Below are 24398 nucleotides of genomic sequence, written 5' to 3'. Positions count from 1 at the left end.
AATGTTATGTCTACAATTCTTAACATAGGAGTTCAATTTAATAACCAGTAAGATTAAGGAAGCAAACAAACTTGGGAAAAACGGCAAGATTTAATAATTTGATACCATGATAAACACCACACAGGACCTTTTTTTCAAATAAGGTTATAGGTAAATGTTTGCTCCAAAAGTATCCTTTATAATTCAAGAAAATCAAACAAATATTTTTCTGAGATGATTAATAAATCTTTAGTTTTATACAGCAAAAGGATTATCTCAAAGTTATATAAAATATTTCAAAATATTAATAAATTTAATGTTTTCTCCAACAGTTTTCACCTGTTTGTAAAATGGCCCACCATCAAAGATAATATGCATTTAGTTTAGAGGATAGATGGTGACGGAGGGCAGAGCAAAGTGGCGGGATAGAAGCCTACACTACTCATCCCCCTACCCCCACAGAAACACCAAATTTTAACAACTAACTACACACTAAAAGTACCGTTACAAGAGACAAAAAGCAGGTGAGCAATCATAGTGCCTGGTTTGGACTTCATATCACTGAAAGAGACACTGAAGAAGATAGGAAAGGCAGTCTGGAATTGCCAGTGCTACCACTCCCCCATCCTCCCTGCACTGGTGGTGAGAATTTGCATGCTTGGGAGAGGGTGAGCACAGCGATTGTCAGGATTTGCATTGAACTCAGTGCTCCCCTGTCACAAGGGAAAGCAGAACCAGGCTGTACTCAGCTGACATATGCCAACAAAGGGAGCATTTGGGTCGACCCTAGCCATAGGGGAATTGCCCATTCCAGTGATTGGAGACTGAGTTCCAGCAAGCCTCACCACTGGGGGCTGGAGTGCTCTGGGCCCCGAGTGAAATGAGTGGCAGTCTAGGCCACAAGGACTGCAATTCCTAGACAAGTCCTAGTGCTGAGCTGGGATCAGAGACACCTGACTGCAACCTACGAGACACCAGCCAGGGCAGCTAAGGGAGTGCTTACGCCACCTCTCCCTTAGCTCCCGGTAGCAGCCACCTGGTATGGAGAAATCTGTGTGATTGTGAGAGGGGGAGCACAGTGGCTGATGGACTTTTCATTGAACTCAGTGCTGCCCTGTCACAGCAGAGACCTGGCAGGTTTCATCACCTGCCTGCTCAAGAGCCCCTGGGCCCTGAATAACCAATAGCAATACCCAGGTAATAAATACACCACGGATACTGGGCTCTGAGACATGCTGGCTTTAGGCGTGACCCAGCACATTCCCTGCTGTGGTAACTATGGTGAAAGACTGCTGCTTGAGAAAAGTAGGGGGAAAGGTAAAGGTGACTGTGTCGTGCAGCTTAGGTACCAGCTCAGCCACAGTAGGGTAGAGCACCACGCAGGCTCTCGGGGTCCCTGAGTCCAGGCCTAGGCTCTTGGTCAGCATTTCTGGACCTAGTCTGGATCAGAGGAGAGCCCACTGTCCTGAAGGGTGAGTCCCAGGCCTGACAGCATTCATCACAAGCTGACTGAAGAGCCTTTGTGCTTTAGGTGAGCATTAGCAGTGGCCTGGCAACACCCCCACACACCCACATGGGCCAGTGTTGGTGGCCACAGGGAGAGGTTTCTCTGTCTGTGGAAGGTGAAGAATGGGAAGAATTCTGTCTGTCTTGTGGTTTGAATGCCAGCTTAGCCAGAATAGAATAGAATACCAGGTAAATTTCTAAGGTTTTTGACTTCAATCCCTAGCTCCCAGACGATATCTCTGAATCCACTCGCGGCTTGGGGAAACTCACCATCCTGAAGAGAGGGACACGAACCTAGCTCACTTTGCCACCTGCTGATCATAGGGCTCCAGGGCCTTGAGTTAATTTAAGTGGCAGCCAGGTAGTGGTTACAGCTGGCTGTGGGCAAGATCCAGTGCTGTGCTGGTTTCATGTCTCACCCAGCGCAGTCCCAGTGGTGGTGGCCACAGGGATGTTTATGTCCCCCAACCCCCAGTTCCAAGAGGCTCAGCACAGAGAGAGAGAAAGAGAGAGACAGAGAGTGAGGGAGGGAGGGAGGGAGGGAGGGAGAGAGAGAGAGAGAGAGAGAGAGAGAGAGAGGGAGACTGACTTTGTTTGTTTGGAAGAATGTAAGGGAAAAGAACAAGAGTCTCTGCCTATTAATCCAGATAATTCTTCTGAATCGTATCCAAGAATACCAAGGTGGTACTTATTGTTATTGGGTTTAGGACCTAGGTCCCTTCGAATACCTGGAAAGCCTTCCCAAGGATGGGCACAAAGAAACCCAGCCTGCAAAAACTACAATAAATGCCTAACTCTTCAATGCCCAGACACCAACAAACATCTATAAGGATCAAGACCATCCAGGAAAACATGACCTCACCAAATGAACTAAATAAGGCACTAGGGACCAATCCTGGAGAAACAGAGATATGTGACCTTTCAGATAGAAAATTAAAAATAGTTGTTTTGAGAAAACAACAACAAAAAATCAAGATAACAGAGAGAAGAAATGCAGAATCCTGTCACATAAATTTAACAGAGACTGAAATAATTAAAAAGAATCAAACAGAAATCTAGAGTTGAAAAATACAACTGACATGCTAAACAATGCATCAGAGTCTCTTAACAGCAGAATCGATCAAGTAGAAGAAATAATTAGTGAGCTTGAAGACAGCCTATTTGAAAATACACAGTCAGAGGAGACAAAAAAAAACAAGAATAAAGAACAATAAAGCACACCTACAGTATCTAGAAAACAGCCTCAAAAGGGCAATTCTAAGAGTTATTGGCCCAAAAGAGGAGGTACAGAAAAAATGAGGTAAAAAGTTTATTCAAAGGGATAATATCAGAGAACTTCCCAAACCTAGAGAAAGATACCAATATTCAAGCACATGAAGGTTATAGAGCACCAAGCAGATTTAACCCAAAGGAGACTACCTCATGGCATTTAAAAATCAAACTCCCAAAGGTCAAAGATAAAGAAAGGATCCTAAGAGCAGCAAGAGAAAAGAAACAAGTAACATACAAAGGAGCTCCAATATGTCTAACAGCAGACTTTCCAGTGGAAACCTTACAGGGCAGGAGAGAGTGGCATGACATATTTAAAGTGCTTAGGAAAAAAACCTTTTACTCTATAATAGTGTATCTGGCAAAAATATCCTGTAAGCATGAAGGAGAAATAAAGACCTTCCAGACAACAAAAGCTAAGGGATTTCGTGAACACTAGATCTCTCCTACAAGAAATGCTAAAGGGGGTTCTTCAATGCGAAAGAAAAGGACATTAACGAGCAATAAGAAATCATCTGAAGGTACAAAACTCACTGGTAATAGCACACAGAAAAACATAGAATATTAAACTGTAATTGTGGTGGGTAACATACTCTTAGGTAGAAAGACTAAACAATGAACCAATCAAAATAATAACTAGAACAAATCTTCAAGACAAAGTACAATAAGACATAAAGAGAAATAACAAAAAATTTAAAAGGAAGGGATGAAGTTAAATTGTACAGTTTTTATTCATTTTCTTTTTGCTTGTTTGCTTCTTTGTTTATACAATCAGTGTTAATTTGTCCTCAGTTTATAATTATGAGTTATAATATAGTATTTTCTAGCGTCCTGGTAAACTCAAATAAAAAAATACAATGGATACACAAGAAAATAAAAAGCAAGAAATTAAATCATACCACAGATAAAATCACCTTCACTAAAAGGAAGGAAGGAAATAAGGAAGAGACAATCACAAAACAACCAGAAAACAAATAACAAAATGGCAGGAGTAAGTCCTTACTGATCATTAATAACACTCAATCCATATGGACTAAACTCTCCAATCAAAAGACATAGAGAAGATGAGTGAATAAAAAAAGCAAGACCTGATGATCTATTGCCTAGAAGAAACATATGTCACCTGTAAAGGTACACATAGAATGGAAATAAAGGACTGGAAAAAGACATTCCATGCCAGTGAAAACCAAAAAACAGTAGCAGTAGCTACATTTATATCAGACAAAATAGATTATAAGACAAAAACTGCAAGAAGAGACAAAAAGGTCATTATATAATAATAAAGGGGTCAATTCAGCAAGAGGATATAACAATTGTAAATGTATATGCATCCAACACTGGAGTACCCAGACACATAAAGCAAGTGTTACTTGCTTTACTAGAGCTAAAGAGAGAGGTATTTTATCATATATTACAATTATATATTTTATATATATAATTATTATATAATATATGATATATATTATTAGAGCTAAGGAGAGAGAAATAGACCTCAATACAATAATAGCAGGAGACTTCAACATCCCACTTTCAGCATTAGATCTTCCAGACAGAAAATCAACAAGGAAACATCAGACCTAATCTGCACTATAGACTACATGGACCTAATAGATATTTACAGAACATTTCATCCAATGGCTGCAGAATATATATTCTCCTCAGCACGGCATCATTCAAGGATAGACCATATGTTAGGTTACAGAACAAGTCTTAAAACATTCCAAAAAATTAAAATTATATCAAGTATCTTCTCAACTGCTATGGAATAAAATCAGAAATTAATAACAAGGGGAATTTTGGAAACTATACAAACCCATGGAAATTAAACAATAGGTTCCTGAATGACCAGTGAGTCAATAAAGGAATTAAGAAGGAAATTGGAAAAATTTCTTGAAACAAATAATAATGGAAACAAAACACACCAAAACCTATGGGATACAGCAAAAGCAGTACTAAGAGGGAAATTTATAGCTATAAGTGCCTATATATATAAAAAAAGAAAAACTTCAAATAAATAACCTCATGATGCATCTTGAAGAACTAGAAAAGAGAAAACTAAGCTCTAGATTAATAGAAGAAAAGCAGAAAGAGTAGAAATAAATGAATTTGAAATGAAGAAAACAACACAAAAGATCAAAGAAACAAAAAGTTGGTTTTTTGAAAAGATACAATTAACAAACCTTAGACTAACAGAAAAAAAGAGGTAAGATCCAAGTAAATAAAATCAGAGATGAAACAGGAGACATTACAACTGATACTGCAGAAATTCAAAGGATTGTTAGAGACTATTATGAGCAACTATATGCCAACAAATTGGAAAACCTAGAAGAAATGGATAAATTCCTAGACACACACAACTTACCAAGATCAAACCACAAAGAAATCTAAAACCTGAACAGACCAATGACAAGCAACAAGATTGAAGCCATAATAGTCTCCCAGTAAAGTAAAGCCCAGGATCTGATGGCTTTACTGCTGAATTCTACCAAGCATTTAAAGGAGTAATACAATTCCTACTCAAACTATTCTGAAAAATAGAGGGAAGAATAATTCCAAACTCATTCTGTGATGCCAGTATTACCCTGATATCCAAATCAAAGACATATCAAAAAAAAGAAAACTACAGGCCAGTATTTCTGATAAGTACTGATGTAAAACTCCTCAACAAAATATTAGCAAGTAAAATTTGACAATACATTAAAAAGAACATTCATCATGACCAAGTGGGATTTATCCCAGGAATGCAAGGATGGTACAATATATGCAAATAATCAGTGTGATACATGGTATCAACAGAATGAAGGATAAAAACTATAATCATTTGAAGCAGATGGATCACCTGAGGTCAAGAATTCGAGACCAGCCTAGCTAACATGGTGAAACCCCATCTCTACTAAAAATATAAAATTAGCCAGGCGTGCTGGTGAGTGCCTGTAATCCCAGCTACTCTGGAGGCTGAAGCAGGAGAATCACTTGAACCCAGGAGGTGGGGGTTGCAGTGAGCTGAGATCATGCCACTGCCCTCCAGCCTGGGTGACAGAGACTCAGTCTAAAAAACAAAACAAAACAAAACAAAAACAAAAAAACTATAATAATTTCAACTGATGCTGAAAAAATTTAATAAAATTCAACACCCCTTTATGATAAAACCCTAAAAAAACTGGTTATATAAGAAACATACCTCAATATAATAAAAGCCATATATACAACAGAGCCACAGCTAGTATCACACTGAATGAGGGAAAAACTGAAAGTCCTTCCTCTGAGATCTGGAAAATGAAGATGCCCACTTTCACCACTGTTACTCAACACAGGACTGGAAGTTCTAGCTAAAGCAATCAGCAGGAGAAAGAAATAACAGGCATACAAATTGGAAAGGGAGAAGTCAAATTATCCTTGTTTGCAGATGATGGGATCTTATATTTGGAAAAACTTAACAACTCCACAAATAAAAAAACTATTAGAACTGATAAATTCAGTAAAGTTGCAGGATACAAAAGCGACATACAAAAATCAGTAGCCTTTCTATATGCCAGTGAACAATCTGAAAAAGAAATAAAAAAGTAATCCTATTCACAATAGCCACAAATAAGATTAAATACCTAGGAATTAACTTAACCAAAGAAGCGAAAGATCTCTGCATTAAAAATTATAAAATGCTGATGCAAGAAACTGAAGAGGACACAAAAAATGAAAAGATATTTCATGTTCATAGTTGGAAGAATCAATATTCTTTTCAATACTACCCAAACCAATCTATAGATTCAATGCAATCTCTATCAAATCTCTATCAAAATACCAATGACATTCTTCACAGAAATAGAAAAAACAATTCTGAAATTTATATGGAACCACAAAAGACCCAGAATAGCCAAAGCTAGCCTGAGGAAAAAGAACACAACTGGAGGAATCACATTACCTGACTTCAAATTATACTACAGAGCTATAGTAACTAAAGGAAGATGGTATTGGCATAAAAACAGACACATAGACCAGTGGAACAGAATAGAAAAATCCATACACCTACAATGAACTCATTTTCAAGAAAGGTGCCAAGAACATACATTGGAGAAGATAGTCTCTTCAATGGTTCTAGGAAAATTGGATATCCACATGTAGAAGAATGAAACTTGACTTCTATCTCTCGCTGTATACAAAAATCAAATCAAGGTGAATTAAAGACTTAAATCTAAGACTTCAAACTGTAAAACTAAAAAAAGAAAACATTGGGGAAACTCTCCAGGACATTGGTCTGGGCAAAAATTTCTTCAGTGATACTCCACAAGCCTAGGCAACTAAAGCAAAAATGGACAAATGGGATCACATTAAGTTAAAAAGCTTCTGCATAGCAAAGGAAACAATCAGTCAAGTGAAGAGACAGCCCACAGAATGGGAGAAAATCTTTGCAAACTATCCATCTCACAAGAGATTAATAACCAGAATATATAAGGAGCTCAAACAACTCTATAGGAAAAATCTAATAATCTGATTAAAAAATGGGCAAAACATTGGAATAGACATTTCTCATGAAGAAGACATAGAAGACATAGAAACAGCAATATGAATAAGTGCTCAGGTCATTGATCATCAGATAAATACAAATCAAAAGCACAATGAGGTATCTTCTTGCCCTGGTTAAAAATGGCTTTTATCCAAAAGACAGGCAATAACAAATGCTGGAGAGGGTGTGGTGAAAAGGGAACCCTCATACACTGTTGCTGGGAATGTAAATTTGCACAACCACTATGGAAAACAATTTGGAGGATTCTCAAAACACTAAAAATAGAGATACCATACGATCTAGCAATCCCACTGCTGAGTATATACCCACAAGAAAGGAAATCAGTATATTGAAGAGATATCTGCACTCCCATGTTTGTTACAGCACTTTTCACAATAGCCAAGATTTAGAAGCCACCTAAATGTCCATCGACAGATAATTAGATAAAGAAAACATGGTACATATACACAATGGAGTACTATTCAGCCATAAAAAGAATGAGATCTTGTCATTTGCAATGACACAGATGGAACTGAAGATCATTATGTTAAGTGAAATAAGTCAGGCAAAGAAACACAAACTTTGAATGCTCTCATTTCTTTGTGGATGCTAAAAATTAAAACAACTGAACTAATGGAGCTAGAGAGTAGAAGGATGATTACCAGAGGCTGGGAAGGGTAGTTAGGGTTGGTGGGGCGGTGAGAGGGAAGTGGAGATGGTTAAGGAATATAAAAAATATATAGCTAGAAAGGCCGGGTGCGGTGTGGCTCACGTCTGTAATCTCAGCACTTTGGGAGGCCAAGGCAGGCGGATCACGAGGTCAGGAGATCCAGACCATCCTGGCTAACATGGTGAAACCTCGTCTCTACTAAAAATACAAAAAATTAGCCAGGCGTGGTGGCGGGCGCCTGTAGTCCCAGCTACTCGGGAGGCTGAGGCAGGAGAATGGCGTGAACCCGGGAGACGGAGTTTGCAGTGAGCCGAGATCGCGCCACTGCACTCCAGCCTGGGCGACAGAGCAAGACTCCGTCTCAAAAAAAAATATATATATGTGTGTGTGTGTGTGTGTGTGTGTGTGTGTGTGTATGTGTGTGTATATATATGTGTATTATATATATGTGTGTGTATATATATATATAGCTAGAAGGAATGAATAAGACCTAGTTTTTGATAACACAATAGGGTGACTACAGTCAGCAATAATTTAATTGTATATTTTATAACTAAAAGAGTATAAACGGGTTGTTTATAACACAACAGATAAATGCTTGAGGAGATGTATACCACATTTTCTATGATGTGGTTATTACTTATTGCATGCCTGTATCATAGTATAATATCTCATGTATCCCATAAATATATATACCTACTGTATACCCATACAACTTTTTTTTAAATTAAAGTATAAACTATTTTAATACTGGAATCTCTTTCTTTAGTTATATAATTTAATTATTTCTCTCTCTTTATGTATATAAAATCTCTTCACTATAATTTTTGTTATAGTATCACTACTCTTCAAATAATTATGAAAAATTTCTTACCTGGTGCAATTTTCCCATCCTGAGCTGCGGGACCATCTTTCAGCACATTTTTCACTTGTAGGAACTCATCAGGTCTATCTCCACCAATAATAGTAAAACCAAATCCCATTGTGCTTTTTTTCAGTGATGCTCGAACAAGGACACCTTTAAGCTGGGATGGATCTCTTGTGAAGTGTGATTTTTCCATATCTGTGCCAAAATGAGAAGTGGGTTTGAGAACAAAAATAATTACAATGAATATAGCACTCAGAGTCAATCTTTTATATGACTTTTTAATGTTATTCTCAACTTAATCTCTTTCTCATTGCCTTGTCTGTGCTTACTTTCAACCCAGAGTCCATTATATGAAGTCAAAATGATACAACCTTTAGCACTCAATTTCTGAAAGTTTGGATACTATTCAACTGTACTATAAAACTCAGCATCTACTGAGTTTTATGTGCAAAGTACTATACCAGGAAGATGAAGTCAAGTGTCACAAACTTATGAAAGAGAGTATATTGAGAATTTTTATAATTCACAGCTCAGGCTTTCTGCAGTCTTTGATTTATAACTGATGGAAGGAGTGAATCTTTTTACTATCAGTAAATAGCTTCATATTTCTATCCCTTTCACTCATGTTTAGTGGATAATTTAGGAAAAAAAAATACATAGTTCTTTTGAAATGCCCATTATTAGGGGTTAGATGACCCTAGTGATTCACATCTGCAAATAACAACTTCCTTCCAGAACCTCTTCTCTCTTCTCCTCAACCATGCCTGCCATTAGGAAAGTGACAAAAACTGAGAGAATCAAATTGTGCAGGTTTATAATTTATGAAGTATTAAATTAACTGTAAAAAAGATTTTAAATGTTCTGCCATTATCTATTTTTTAACAAATTTATTGAGATATAATTCACATACCATAGAATTTAGCCCTTTCAAGTGTACAATTCAATGTCATGCGACTATCAGCATAATCTAATTTTAGAACATTTTCTTCCCTCCTCAGAGGAAATCCCCATGCCCATTAGCAGTCATTATCCAATTTCTCCCCAACCCACATCCATATCCTAGCCTTAGGAAACCACGAATCTACTATCCATGTATAGATGTGCCCAATATAGGCATTTCATATAAACAAAATCAGACAATATGTGGTTTTTTGAATGGTTTCTTTCACTTGACAGTGTTTTTGAGGGTCATCTGTATTGTAGCATATGTCAGTACTTTATTGCTCTTTATTATTAATATATAATAAATATTAAATTAAATATGTACTTACTAAAGATAAAATATATTTATTATATTATTGCCAAATAATATGGCACTGTATGGATAAACAACACATTTTGTTGATCCATTCATTAGTTGATGGACATTTGGGTTATTTCCACTTTTTGGCTATTATGAATAATGTTGATATGAACACTCACAAGGTTTTGTGTGGACATATTTTCATTCATCTTGGGTATACACTGAGTGGAATTCCAGCAGTTACTATAAATATATGGTAATTATGTTTATCATTTTGCCAACAGTTGTACTGTCTGACCTCCCATACCCTCTTCATTCTATTGCAATTTTACTTCACTCTCTACTTGCTCTTCCTAGAGTGACTAATGACCTCCCTACTGTCAAATCCAACACATATTTTTCAATCTTCAACTTCCTTGACATTCCAGCAACATATGACATACTCAACCTCTTCTCATGGCTGCCTATCCCTACAACCTCATCGCTTGTTACTACCCTACAAATACCCTATGCTGTAACCACACCTACTTGCCTTCTGGCCTTTCGGCACACCATTTCATGCTTCTGTGATTTTAAACATTCTGTTCCTTCTACTTGGTATGCTTTCTTGCTCCTTTAAAATTTTTGTCTGCCTGCTTTAACTTTTCCTGACTTTTCAAGACCTAGTTTCTATCTCTTCTGCTTTGAAATTTCTCCTGCCCACTTGACATTTCCCACCAAAGCAGAGTTGGGTACTCCCGTCTTTATGCCACCACTGTAACTTGTACATGTCTATTAATAACAATGAAACTATCATTTATTAGTCAACATGTGCTTAATACCATTGTAGGCACTTTACATCTGTTAATTTACATACTCATAACCACCTTAAAAGGTGGGTACCATTATTATTCCTACTTTATATATGAAGAAATAGGAGCATTTAGAGATTTAGGAAACGTACCCAAGATTACACAGCTGGGATTCAAACCTGCTCCTCAGCTTACCATTATAACTACTACTCTATGATGGCACCTATCTCCATGTATTATAACCATCAGTTTCCTGTATTAGACTATGAACTCTTGAGGGCAAGCCCTGTCTTACTCTTAGTCATTTTTGAATACCTAGAGCCTAGCAAAGCACTGGGGATATAGTCAGTGCTCAAAAGTATTTGTTAAACTCAAAATGTTTGCTAAACGAAATGCAGAACTTTAGGAGGAGGACGATGTTTTTGAAGAGTAACTATAAGAAAGAACTATTTCTCTCATAGGCAACCGAAGTGGAGAATCTACTGGATTACTACAATATGGCCATATATACCCCTGGTTATTAATGACAAATGAGGGCTGGAAAAGGGATGGGGAGGGATAAGTAGAATGTAAGAACTTCCTGAGCAGTGTTTTCAAAATACACATGATTAGACTCATCGAAATTTCTGGATCTATATTTTTAAAAAAATGCTCCCTAAATGAATCTGATGTTACTAATAGCTACCATCCCATTTGAGACTCAATGATGTAGGTAAATCATTTGATATATTTAGTATTTATTAATATTGGTTAATGAAGAATCCTCAGTGGTTACAGATACCATACTTAAGCAATTAACTTGGGAAAAGCTAACGATGAACTGGAGACCTAATATTGGTCTAGCCTTAAACATAAGGAAACATTCCAATCTTCAAAACAAAATCTCAAATTCATAAAAAAGCTGCCGAAATCCCTTCTCCCAACAACTTCATGCTTTTTGTATACTCCTGAGAAAAATCTCAGTATTCTGATAATGTTCAGATGTTTTATTAAGATTATTCATATCTTTACAGTAACAACTAGACACTCTTTAGTGTCAAAGCCATAGAAATAAGAAGTTCAAACTCACTTTTATTAACTCAGCATACAAATTTCACAAGTTATTCTTAGAAGAAAAGATTGAAAAGAATGCTTACCTGGTTTTGAAGACCCAATTTCAACCTGTCCTAACTGCTTTTTCCTTTTGGCTTCCTCCACTGGATTTTCAAACTGGGTTTTCTGGTTAAGGTGACTGTAGAATGCAGAAAAATATACATTTCAGTTTAAAATAAAACAGTAACATATTCTTAAATAGTCTATCATACCATTCCATCATCATAGATTAGGGGACAAATATGTATCTTTAGGCTATGGAACATGGAGAGACTGATAGATGATAGCAGAGGGGCTTTCTGCTGCTAAATAAAGTCCTGCAGAAGATGCCAAGCTGTGAAGCTTTTGATATTATATTTACTATAGCTTCTTCATAAACGTACCCAATATAGCCAATAACAGTTTTCAAAACTATAGCCTTCTTATCTGATGCAATCAGAAGTACTTGTTCTTGGTAATTTAATTTTTTTAAAAAAGGCAGTTAATGATAGAAGGGTTTTAATTTAAGTTTCTCCAAAATGAAGCAAGCTGTAAAGGCACTTTGAAAGAAATTTGTGTATAGAATCCTTTTTAAATTATATTACTATTACTTTTCCACTGACTCACCTATATCCGTTCAGTAGCAACTAAGAAAATGACTTGCTTTTATCAACTATAGTATAGAATAACTCTTTCACACTTAAATTTCTTCATAATTATATCATAATTAAATGAATAATTATAACATAGGTTCAACTGGCATTTATGATTTGGGAACATTCACTACTGACTCTTGGAATGCATACAACTCTCTGAGAGAAAGCAGGAAGCCTGGGGAGACTAGCCGCTAGGAGATTAGCCAAACTATTCAACACGCTATGGGCGATAGTATGTTTTACAGAAGAAAAAGAGCACTATTCTTCTGGCAAGCCAGTTAAGTGGAGTTGGTTAAGAAAGGAAATGCTGTAAAAAAGATGTTTAGGACCTCGAATAGGTCTAATTCAGAAGCAATGGAAATCATATTCTAACACTTCCATAGTACAAATATATTTCAGCATATGCTACAGTTTTCCACTTTAATTAAAGAAGTGAGGCCGGGTGCAGTGGCTCACGCCTGGAATCTCAGCACTTTAGGAGGCCAAGGCAGGCAGATCACGAGGTCAAGAGATAGAGACCATCCTGGCCAACATGGTGAAACCCCATCTCTACTAAAAATACAAAAATAAGCTGGGCGTGGTGGTGCATGCCTGTAATCCCAGCTACTCAGGAAGCTGAGGTAGGAGACTCACTTGAACCCAGGAGGCGGAGGTTGCAGTGAGCCGAGATCATGCCATTGCACTCCAGCTTGGGCGACAAGAGTGAAACTCCACGGCAAAAAAAATAAAAAATAAAAATAAAGAGGTGATATGAGTGAACACCAACAATTAAATACCAAATCATGAGAATTTCAGAACATGATTGTTTTTAGGTAGACTGAATATTACAAAATGTACATATAAATAGTCACACAAGTTGAACATTTACTTTGCCTTTTTATTTCTTTATTTATTTTTTTTTTGGAGACAGGCACTCATTCTGTCACCCAGGCTGGAATGCAGTGGTCCAATCACAGCTCACTGCAGCCTCAACCTCTCAGGCTCAAACGATATTCCCACCTCAGCCTCCTGAGTAGCTGTGACCACAGGTGTGTGCCACCATGCCCAGCTAATTAAAAAAAATTTTTTTTTTTTGTAGAGATGGGGTCTTACTATGTTGTCCACGCTGGAGCTTTGCCATTTGTAAACATTAAGAGTGGTGGTAGAGAAATGGGCAGCAGGGACTAAAATAAAAATTTAAAAATTAAAAAAACACTTTCAAAAAAAGGAATGTTAGCTTTCTCCATGTCACTCAGGCTACTACTACATATCAGTTCCACAACAGACGTAGTTACTTATTAAATAGTTTAAGAGCTCTAAATATGGTAAGTGCCACTGGACATTGTTTGGGTTCTGATTTCACTGACACTCAAGTATGCTTCTGCTTCATAATATGCGGGGGATACACTGTCCACTGAGTTAACTGTTTAACTCTGTGAAAATAAAAATCCTAGGAACTACTTTAAAAAATTTATTTAGGTACTGATATTTTACATATTCTTTTGAAAAACAACTAAAAATTGACACTCAGAAAAGAATAAACCTGTTCAGAAAGAACCTTGGCTCACTTTCACTTTAAAGTCATTGGCTAGAATGACTCACTTTGCCACCCAGGCATTAGAACATAAAAAGTAGTAATTTGTATTTATACCCTTTGTAATGTGTGGGAGAGGAGAGTAGACGTATGCAAATGAGTAATCCTTTTCCTAAAAATTTGACAAAAGAATATAAGATTTACTGAAGGAAGTTATTGTCTTCATTATCTTAGACTATCTAGACTAAAATGCCACTCAAAAAAAATCAAAAAATAAAAAAGTGAAAATACTGTCCTTTTCATTTAATTACTTATACCTACACTATTATTAAGACACAACAAATTTTGTTTTCCAAATAACTAGCTGTGGGAAATAAGAGAGGAGAATATTACAGATTATCAGAAAGAAACAAAGCAAACAAGAATGATTAAATATTAGTACACAATTTGACACATTTTCTGTATTAAAATTTTATGTCTAATATCTGGATTTAAAAATTTATCTCAACAAAATATTCTTTCATAAAGAGTTTTAGATGGCTGGGCATGGTAGCTCACGCCTGGGATCCCAGCACTTTGGGAGGCCGAGGCGGGTGGATCACTTGAGGTCAGGAGTTTAAGACCAGCCTGGCCAACATGGTGAAACCCCATCTCTACTAAAAATACAAAATTAGGTGGGTGTGGTGGCGCATGCCTATAATCTCAGCTACTGGGGGGCTGAGGTACGAGAATCACTTGAACCTGGGAGGCAGAAGGCGGAGGTTGCAGTGAGCCAAGATCGTGCTGCTGCACTCTAGCCTGGGCAAGAGTAAAACTCCGTCTCAAAAAAAAAAAAAAAAAAGTTTTAGTTGTGAAAGCAAGTATATATTTTGACTTTGTCATCTAGGTGCATCAAGACATTTAATGCTTATCACCCTGATCTAATCACTATATATTACGTGTACTGAAACATCACTACGTACCCCCAAAATGTGTATAATTATATGTTAATTTTAAAAAGACATGTAATGCAATATAATCAAGACCGCATTTCTAAATATATAAGCATATTTATAGCTTATGCATATTTATATTTATGCATATTATAAGCATATTACATTTTTGGAAAAATTTTATTTTAAAAAATAACTTCATCCATTTCAGAATCCCATCCTCTAAAATAAATACAAAGAAAAACTACCACTGCAGTTGGTGTTACTACTACAAGGCTCCTGCCAAGAGCAATCATCGTGCCATCTGGTTTGACAAACTAAGAGAGCCAAAGAGTAGCCATTCAAGTAACAGCTTTTTATCTCCATCAGTAAACTCACTGCAGATTACTATGGTCGAGATTCAAAACCTAACTAATCTGGGAATCAAGCCACACTCCACAGCTCAGCTGACTCCATACTAATGTGCATCTTGAGTACAGTCTGCTCCTTCTTAGTCTAATACAAAACCCTCCTGTAAAATGAGCTCATTCTGGGAATAATCATACAAAATCATGTCGCTGCTGCTGTTGCTTCTAATTCAGGCTATTTCATGTACCTCCCTGACAACTAGGAGCAGGTCGCTTCAGGATTTGCCCTAAAGTTGCTTTAATATTATATCTTTGCATAATGGGGACCAGATCATTCAGCTCAAGGTTTTATAACAGGCAAATGACTTTCACCTTTTGACCATGTATTCAAATTCACTTGGAATGGATAATAAAGAGAATGAGAATCATTATCTCAGAAATGTTCAGCAGTGTCAATGGCAAATAGCTGATTAGAGCCCAATTTAAATAGACTAAACTTTGAGGGGAAGAAAAAAATCCTGCAAAACCTTTTCAGTCGGCCCCCAAATACTCCTTTGATGTGAAAAATGGTTGTTTCTTCCTTTAACAAAATAAGTCTTAGGAAAAAATAATAATAAAAGAGCTGCTGTATACTTTTTACATCACAGTATCAGTAAGACATTAAGTAACACAATGGAAACAAAATTAGCATAGCTTTCAAAGGAACCAAGATATTGAAATTCTAAAGTTATATACTTAAGTGTCAATCTAATTGAGTCATTTCCTTAGGAGACACATTTAATTTTAAGAAGTCATTCCAAAAATCCCTCTAACCACAGTGACTCAAGTAACAACCTGCACAATAGAATAAAGACTACAGTTGCAACAGGAGTCAGAGATACTTACTTTAGGGATAACTACCAGGAAATGGCATTGGTTTATGCCTATAAGTGTTGAAACATTAAGAAACAATTATAAAATTAAAGATGATTGTGTTTGTTACTTTTTCAGGTAATAATAACATTTTGTCTTTGCTACCTAGGCAGCAGGTTTAACTCCTAGTCTCCAGGTAAATAGTAATGTTTCTGATAGAAGTATTTGCCTGCTGCTAGACGCTTGAGGTCAAATTCAGTGTTTAGCATCTGGAAAGAAAGCAATCCCAATGGTCATAACATTGTAGCAATTAGATAAAGAAAAGAGAAGGCAAAATTAGACATTGATATTAGCTTAATTTCTCTGGCTAACATAGGCAGGTGTCTGGCACTCCTCTCCAATATATATTTATGTTTAAATTTAACCATAGCAGCTGCCTAAGAAGCAACTTTCACCCCTAAAAAGAATACTAAGTTTTCCTTGAATAACTCCTTAAAAGAGAGCACACCTTTAGGTGTATGCTTCAAAACTTCAGATAATTATGTTATAATGCCCTAAAGATCTTCCACTGCTTTCAGAAGGATACAGTGGTAGTGTTGGAAATGACCTTGATAATTCATCTAGTCTGTTGCCCTCATTTCAGTTTTCTATCAACTGACTTTCTCTTTAGAGGCTGTAGTAGTAACAATACCATCTCTAGCTATTAATTGTCTAGGCAACTTCCCCCTTATTCTCTATATTTAGAAATTCAAAGCCAACTTCCAGGAAGCCCAAGGTCAATGAAGCAAATGCTCACTGCCCCTACCTTTTCATTCCCCTAGTTGAAAAACTCAACAGCTGGATCACAGAAGCATAAAGTGCTGTATCCAGTATTCTCTAAAGCTATATGCTGAAAGGAAAATATTTGGGAGAATATTAACTGAGGTAACAAACTTACTCAACATAGTATGTCCCATACTGAGGGTCCTCTATTTTCTCCCAGCCATAAGGAAGCTCTGTAAATAAAGAAAATTGAGTGAAATGCCAGATTCAAAACTGACAGAAAAGAATTCACCAGTGAGTGAATTTATTATTTCATTATACTAATATTTGGGTGTCAGAAAGCTGAGGGCTCACTTTCAAGGAACAAACACAATTTAAGTCTGAGTGGCTTCTTCACCAGCCAGTGAGAATTTCAGCAAGCAATCAGAAGCCCAGAACAGAAGATGGCATTAAACAAAAAGGTGTTCATATGAACCACAAGCCATAAAAATGCTAATAAAAATTACTGTGTACTTCTTTCATTTAAAAACCTTGATCATGCTGACACAAGACATATTTACCCTTGTAGTCCAATAGAAGAAGCAGGTATCTGTTCAATTTTTTACTATTATACATAGTCATTTTTGATGTTATGTTCAGACCCACTTCTCCTCAAAGGAAACCCTAGCCTTGGACTTTTGTCATTTCAAGTGAGCAATCTAGATTTGCTTAAAACCTACAAAAGTACCTGCTTTCTCTTGGTGAACAAGATCTGAGTATCTGAAGGAACACTAATCTAACTACCACAGTGCTTTGTGTAATCTGTATTTGTGAATGATAACAAATAAATACCTTACATAGCATTTTTATATATTACTAATTCTCAGTAAGTGACCAATAAAATATAACCAGAAATACTGAAGGTAGTTGAATTTCTGAAAGTTAAAACAAATCTCTAGCCTTTTCAACATGAACTGACATGAGCTTTTCAATGTGAATGTGAATCTTTTCCCTCCCACTTTGTCTGCATTCCTTGTAAAGTTAAGGTTTCTGAAGAACCATCTTATTAGTAAAACATGGATAAGTTGGGAAGAATGTTCCTAGCAGGTGGTTCTAGTCCTATCCATTTTATATAGCAGTTGAGCAAAAAAGAATTTTTTTAAAAGTCCACTGTTGTGCACTATGATGTCCCACGCTTTTATTTTCAATTTCTCTTAAGAATGCTTCTGCTCTGCTGAAAGACACACACACAAAAAGTACGCTGGACAGCAAACAGGTTTAGAAAGCATCACAAGACTTATTAGTTTTATATCATTTAGCCTCAGTTATGACATACCAACTTTGTAAGTAAAAATTCCATTATAATAAACTTGACAAGCTATACTGTTTTACTCTAAGAAAAATTATTATTCTGCATTCAGAATATAAGAAAAGAACAGATGACTAGCCTCCTGGTGAAAATGTCTGAATTACCCCTACCCCATTTCTCCACCATACTTTTCTGCATATATATTGATTGGTGGTTTCAAAGTTTGATGAGTTTTTGTGTTTTTCCTTTGAAGGACCTGGTTGAAATGTCTCAGGTGGGAAAGATGAGAACAAATGAAATACTAAAATAGTTGAAATATGTGAGAAGAGAACAAAACATTAAAAAGAACTGAGATGTACTTTAGTTCACTTTAATCCTCCTTAGCTATGAAGCAAATCTATCAAATAGATATAATATTTTATCGCCAAACAACTGTTTCATGGATAAGAGTAATTTTTTTGAATATATCTGTAAAACTGCACTATAACAGTTATGGATCTTCCATGAAAAATATTTTTTTCTTTAATAGAAATTTTCTTGAAATAGCATGGGAACTGAATAGAGCTGAGTAAGGAGGAATTCTACAACTGTACCACAATTAGATTTATGTTTTGTCTTTAGAGAAGTTTGGAGAAATTAAGGACTATAGAAATAGCTGAAATAGTCCATTTGATATCTGAAAAATTCACTAAAAGGGATGTACTAATAGTAAGGATAAAAGATCAACATAAATATATTTTAATCTTAACTTGAAAGTTGATTTAGCATTTTAGTTAGCACTCAAGGTAATTAGCAACTAAGAGATTAACAGTCCTTTCTTTAGGAGGGCAAACAAATGCAGCCATTTATCTTCTGGGTTACTTTATTAATTTTACACCTTTACCACTGATACCATTAGCAAGTTTTTTTTGTTTGGTTTTGTTTTGTTTTCACACAGGGCAATTTAATACAGATAAAGAAGTGGTTATTATTTGCTCATTTAAAGTGAAGGTAATAAAAATCAAGACTAAAATACCTAGCAACTTTATACACTATTTAGTGGATCAATTCATTTATTCATTTTATTCTTTTTTCCTTCCTCCCTTCTCATCCTCCTCTCCCCATCATCCTTATGCAGAAATAAAAATTAGAAATATAACCCAGTTCTTGACTTCAAGGAGTTTATAGTCTAGACAGGAAGACAGAAGAGATAAATGATAAGATAAAGATAAACATAATCTTTTTTGGGGAGTGCAGAGGAATACCAATTGCCTGGTAAGATTGCTATCAGGAAAGCCTGCTAAAAGCTGATGTTTAAGCAGTCTTTAAAGATAAGTTGGCTCACGCCTGTAATTCCAGCACTTTGGGAGGCCAAGGCGGGCGGATCATGAGGTCAAGAGATCGAGACCATCCTGGCCAACATTGTGAAACCCCGTCTCTACTAAAAATACAAAAATTATCTGGGTGTGGTGGTGCACGCCTGTAGTCCCAGCTACTCAGGAGGCTGAGGCAGGAGAATCACTTGAACCCAGGAGGTGGAGGTTGCAATGAGCCAAGATCGTGCCACTGCATTCCAGCCTGGTGATAGACCGAGTCAAATAAATAAATAAATAAATAAATAAATAAATAAGTTGGGATTAGGGAGAGGGAGATGATTCCAGATAGATTAAAGGGCATTGAGGTATTAAGAATGCTTGGTATTTTCCATAATTACAAATAATTTGGTAAACTAGAATGAAAGTTGTATGCAAAGGGAAATGAATTTTATGAACAAGCACAAAATTCCAACATTCTTAGAGTGCTGTGTTGAGAAGTTTGATCTTTATTTTGACGATGATAGAGAATTGATTAAGGTGAACTGTGACATGATTTAATTTATATTTGAAAAAGATTATGGGAAGCAGTAATAAAGGACGAAATAGATGGTGTGCAATGAGAATAAAGGCAGACAAATAAGATAAACACTAATAGACTGCATAAGAACTTGTGAAGACTGGAACTAAGGCAGGGGTAGTAGAATGGATAATAAAACAAAGAAGGTAAAGTAACAGAACTTAATGACTACCATGAGGATTGAGGAAGGGAAGGGAGGAAAGAGGCAAAGATGATTCCCAGGTTTCTAGCTTTTGTGGCATAAAAGTGATACATTATCAAATATTTATTGAATAATTATGAAAATGGGCCGGCACGGTGACTCACGCCTGTAATCCCAGCACTTTGGGAGGCCAATGTGGGCAGATCATTTGAGGTCAGGAGTTCAAGACCAGCCTGAGCAACATGGTGAAACCCCTATCTCTACTAAAAATACAAAAATTAGCTGGGCGTGGTGGTAGGTTCCTGTAATCTCAGCTACTCAGGAGGCTGAGGCAGGAGAATTGCTCGAACCTAGGAAGTGGAGGTTGCAGTGAGCTGAGATCTCATCACTGCACTCCAGCCTGGGCAACAGTGTGAGAGTCTGTCTCAAAAAAAAAAAAAAAAGAATAATTATGAAAATGGCTGTGGGAATAGAAATTAGAAATTAATGTGGATTTAGAGGAATTTAGGAGACAGATGATATATTAAAAGTGCCTAGTAATGTGTCTACCACCAATGGACACTCAAGAAATGGCAGGTTTTTATTTTTTATTTTTTTTTGAGATGGAGTCTTCCTCTGTCGCCAGGCTAGAGTGCAATGGCATGATCTCAGCTCACTGCAACCTCCGCCTCCCCAGTTCAAGTGATTCCCCTGCCTCAGTCTCCCGGGTAGCTAGAACTAAAGGTGCGTGCCACCATGCCCAGCTAATTTTTTGTATTTTAGTAGACAGGGTTTTACCATGTTGGCCAGGATGGTCTTGGTCTCCTGACCTCGTGATCCACCCGAATGGCAGGTTTTTAAAAGTTAGAATTGATAGAACTTGGTAGTTAACTGCAACAGAGAGGAGACAGTGAGGGAAAGGCGAGGATGACAACCAGTTTTTGGCTCAAGCAGCTGGGGGGATGTCATATCTGTTGAAGGCAGGAAGGGAAGGTGTTACATTTGAGTGATCTGTAGAACATCCTGGTACAGATAAATAACAAGCTCTTGGCCGTATGAACCCGGTACTCCAAAGAGAAATATAAGAAGATAAAGATTTGAGAGACATTGTAGTTAAAGCTATGACAGCAGACATGATTACCTAGATAAACTGAGCAGAGAAAGGTGAAGAACAGAACCTTAGGAGCACTAACATTTTAAGCGGCAGATGGAGAAAGTAAGAATCATCAGGGGGAATGGTGTAAAAGAAGACAGAAGAGGAAGGGCATGGTCAGCATTAAAAAACGCTTTGTTGGGGAGGCTGAGGCAGGAGAATGGCATGAACCCAGGAGGCGGAGCTTGCAGTGAGCCGAGATCGCGCCACTGCACTCTAGCCTGGGCAACAGTGCAAGACTCTGTCTCAAAACAAACAAACAAACAAACAAACAAAAAAACGCTTTGTAAAGCTGTTAGGCATAAAGATAAGGGCTAAAAAGAGTCTATAAGATCAGGAGGTTACTGGTAACCCTGAAAAGGTAGGAGGCAAAAGTCAGAATACTGTAGTAACTGAAGAGAAAAATACGAAGTAGAGTCCTTAAGAATAGATGACTTAAAACAAAAATTTGCTTGTGGAAAAGATAGTATAAAAACTATGGGGAGGGTTAGGGCCAAGAGAAAATTTGTTTGTTTATTTTTGATACAGGAAAGACCTAACCTAACCATCTTTTCCTGTGTATGAAGCCAAAGTATTCCCCTAAAAAGCTATTTCAAAAGACAAAACTATTTTGGGCATATCAAGCAGCTGGTTGGTTCTAAATCCCATGAATTTATCTTTCTTTCCTCTTCCCCAAATAGGATTTTTCTTGTTTAAATGTAAGAATTACAATTATTTTCTCATGGTGGAGCTCTATTCAGTTGATAATTTTTTTAATCATTCTCTAAGCTCTGAAATATCAACATTCAATATATTTGTAAGCTGCCTTTAGCAAAAATTTAATCTTTCTTTCATCATAAGAGAAATGGGATGGGTTGAGGGTAAAACGAATTCCTAATGTTGTATTTTCAAGACAACTACCTAACCAAAACACTATTTTATTTGAATAGAAGATAAAATGTACATCAATTAAACCAAGCTGTTCAAGCTGTGTCCTTACACTGTATTTGAATACACAGCTGTGTTCAGAATATCAGAAGACTGGGAAGAAAAGGGCATGTTTTAGAAACTGTAAGGTCTTTCTAGAAGATCTTAAATGTTCAGCAGAATGTAAACAATATCTTAACCTATAAAACCTACACTTAAAATATTATTCTTCTCTTTTCAGCATCTACTCTGTGCAAAGCACTGCAGAGAATACTAATATGAATCACACATAGTTCATCCTGAAAATAGTCTTCCGTGGGGCTATTACGTGGGGAGACAAAGTGTAGAGAGGAAAGTGGAAAAGGCTGGCTGAGCATAAAACAAATAGACTCAATGTTCTAAATTGTAGGCTCCCCCGAAGATAAGTATAGGCAATGTTAAAAAGGTGTACCCAGTTTTGTAAGTGGGAGAGTAGCCCATATTAAAGAGTTTCAAACATTCCCAGAATACTGAATGCAATTTTGATCATTCTATTTTAAGAAAAATATACTTAGGATGATCATAAAATGTACTGTCCACTTTTGAGAATAAAAGGGGATACTATTAATAATTATGTTGGGGCAACAGGAAAAAGCTGGATCAGTCCTGGGCCAACCAAGACATATGTTCAGCCTTAATGTAAAGAGCATTAGGGGGAAATGTTCATCCAATTCTTCAAATTCCTTAGAGAATAAAGAATGGGAGGAACATTTCCAGTTTCTCGGAGCCCCTTCACTTTCTTCCCCAAGGAAGAAAGAATGTCTTATCTGACTGGGGAGTTTTACACAATGAACTCAATATGCTTGGCTCAGGGACTCTTGAGTTCTCTCACTGTTTTGGTTAACAGCCTGCCTGCAGAGGCGTATTCTGGTCTGTTCTCTGCCATGTCTGCCCGTTGGGAGGAGGCTTGCAGTTGAACACAGAGGCCAAAGACTAAGTACTCATGTCTCCCTCCTGCAGGGGTAAAATAACAGCAAGGCCATGTACATGCAGGGCTAACATTCATTTGCTGACATTCTGACTTCATCTGTCTGTCTCTGGTGTCTTATTTCTCTATTGACTATAAACTGGTGAATGAAGACGGGCTTATTATTTATTGGCCCCTCAGAGCCTTATAGAGATTGAAAAGTATTTCCAAAAGGGCGACCAAAATAATCTGGAGGATAGAGTAGCTTCTTTCTTTTTTTCCCTTTCTCTTCCTTTTCCCTTCTTCCCTCCCTCCCTCTCTTCCCTCTTTCCCTCTTTTCAAACATTGAAGTCTCTACTGAAAGGATATACAGATGAATGTGTCAAAAATCATTGCTCTGAGTGTGGTATCTAGTTACAATGCAATATAACTGCTACAAGAGAGACATGTCATATGGTACTACTGAGCACAGAGGAGAGGACGTCTACTTCTGACTTGCAAGAAAATGACAGAAGGGGCTACAAAGAAATTATACTTTAGATTGGAGCTTCGAAGGATAATAGGTATGAGCCAGGTAGACACAGGAAACAAGACTGATTCCTGGCAGAAGAAATGGGTATATGGCAAAGACGAAAAATATGTCAGATTTATGACATGAGAATACTTTGAAAAATAAATATAGAATATGATTCAATTATAAAAAATCTTTAATACTTAACCAAGGAGTCTGGACTTTACTCTGCTGACAATGGACAGCAAGGGAGAGATAGATAGAAAATTAGTTTTAGAAAGATTAATTTGGTCTTACATAATATCTCCAAGGTTTTTTGATCATGTAGCCTTTTTAGTAAAAAATCTGACATCTGCCCCTCTTCTAATATGTATATAATAAAACATATACAAAAATAGATGTTTTTAAAGGAGGTGATTAAACAAGCAATTATCATGATTTTACCTTGAAGTTGAAAAAAGCTTATATATGGTCATATATGATACACAAACAGTATCGGTTCTTCCATTTTCTTGCTATTAGTCTGGGTTTGCCTATTTGTATCATCTTCAATCAGTAGTGTTTTTGTAGAAATCTTTTAAAGTGACATTTCCATTTTATGTGAGGTTAGTTTAAAAACTATATAACTAGTCTATAAATCC

At 36.7% G+C, this 24398-nt stretch overlaps 1 protein-coding gene across 5 annotated transcripts in view; it reads right to left on the bottom strand.

Moving 5' to 3' along the window:
- MAGI3 (membrane associated guanylate kinase, WW and PDZ domain containing 3) overlaps positions 1–24398 on the bottom strand; it is a 295409-nt gene that overhangs the window by 54130 nt on the left and 216881 nt on the right. For all 5 annotated transcript variants that reach the window (XM_017000974.2, NM_152900.3, XM_005270737.4 and 2 more), the window contains exons 7-9: positions 17136–17193; positions 11964–12058; positions 8800–8988 (exon numbers count right to left, since the gene is read on the bottom strand). In XM_017000974.2, the coding sequence (XP_016856463.1) occupies positions 8800–8988; positions 11964–12058; positions 17136–17193 (342 nt within the window). The remainder of the gene's footprint in view (positions 1–8799; positions 8989–11963; positions 12059–17135; positions 17194–24398) is intronic.

Source organism: Homo sapiens, chromosome 1 (genome assembly GCF_000001405.40).
Source record: "Homo sapiens chromosome 1, GRCh38.p14 Primary Assembly".
Taxonomy (NCBI): Eukaryota; Metazoa; Chordata; class Mammalia; order Primates; family Hominidae; genus Homo; species Homo sapiens.
This window is presented reverse-complemented; position numbering and strand designations above follow the sequence as displayed.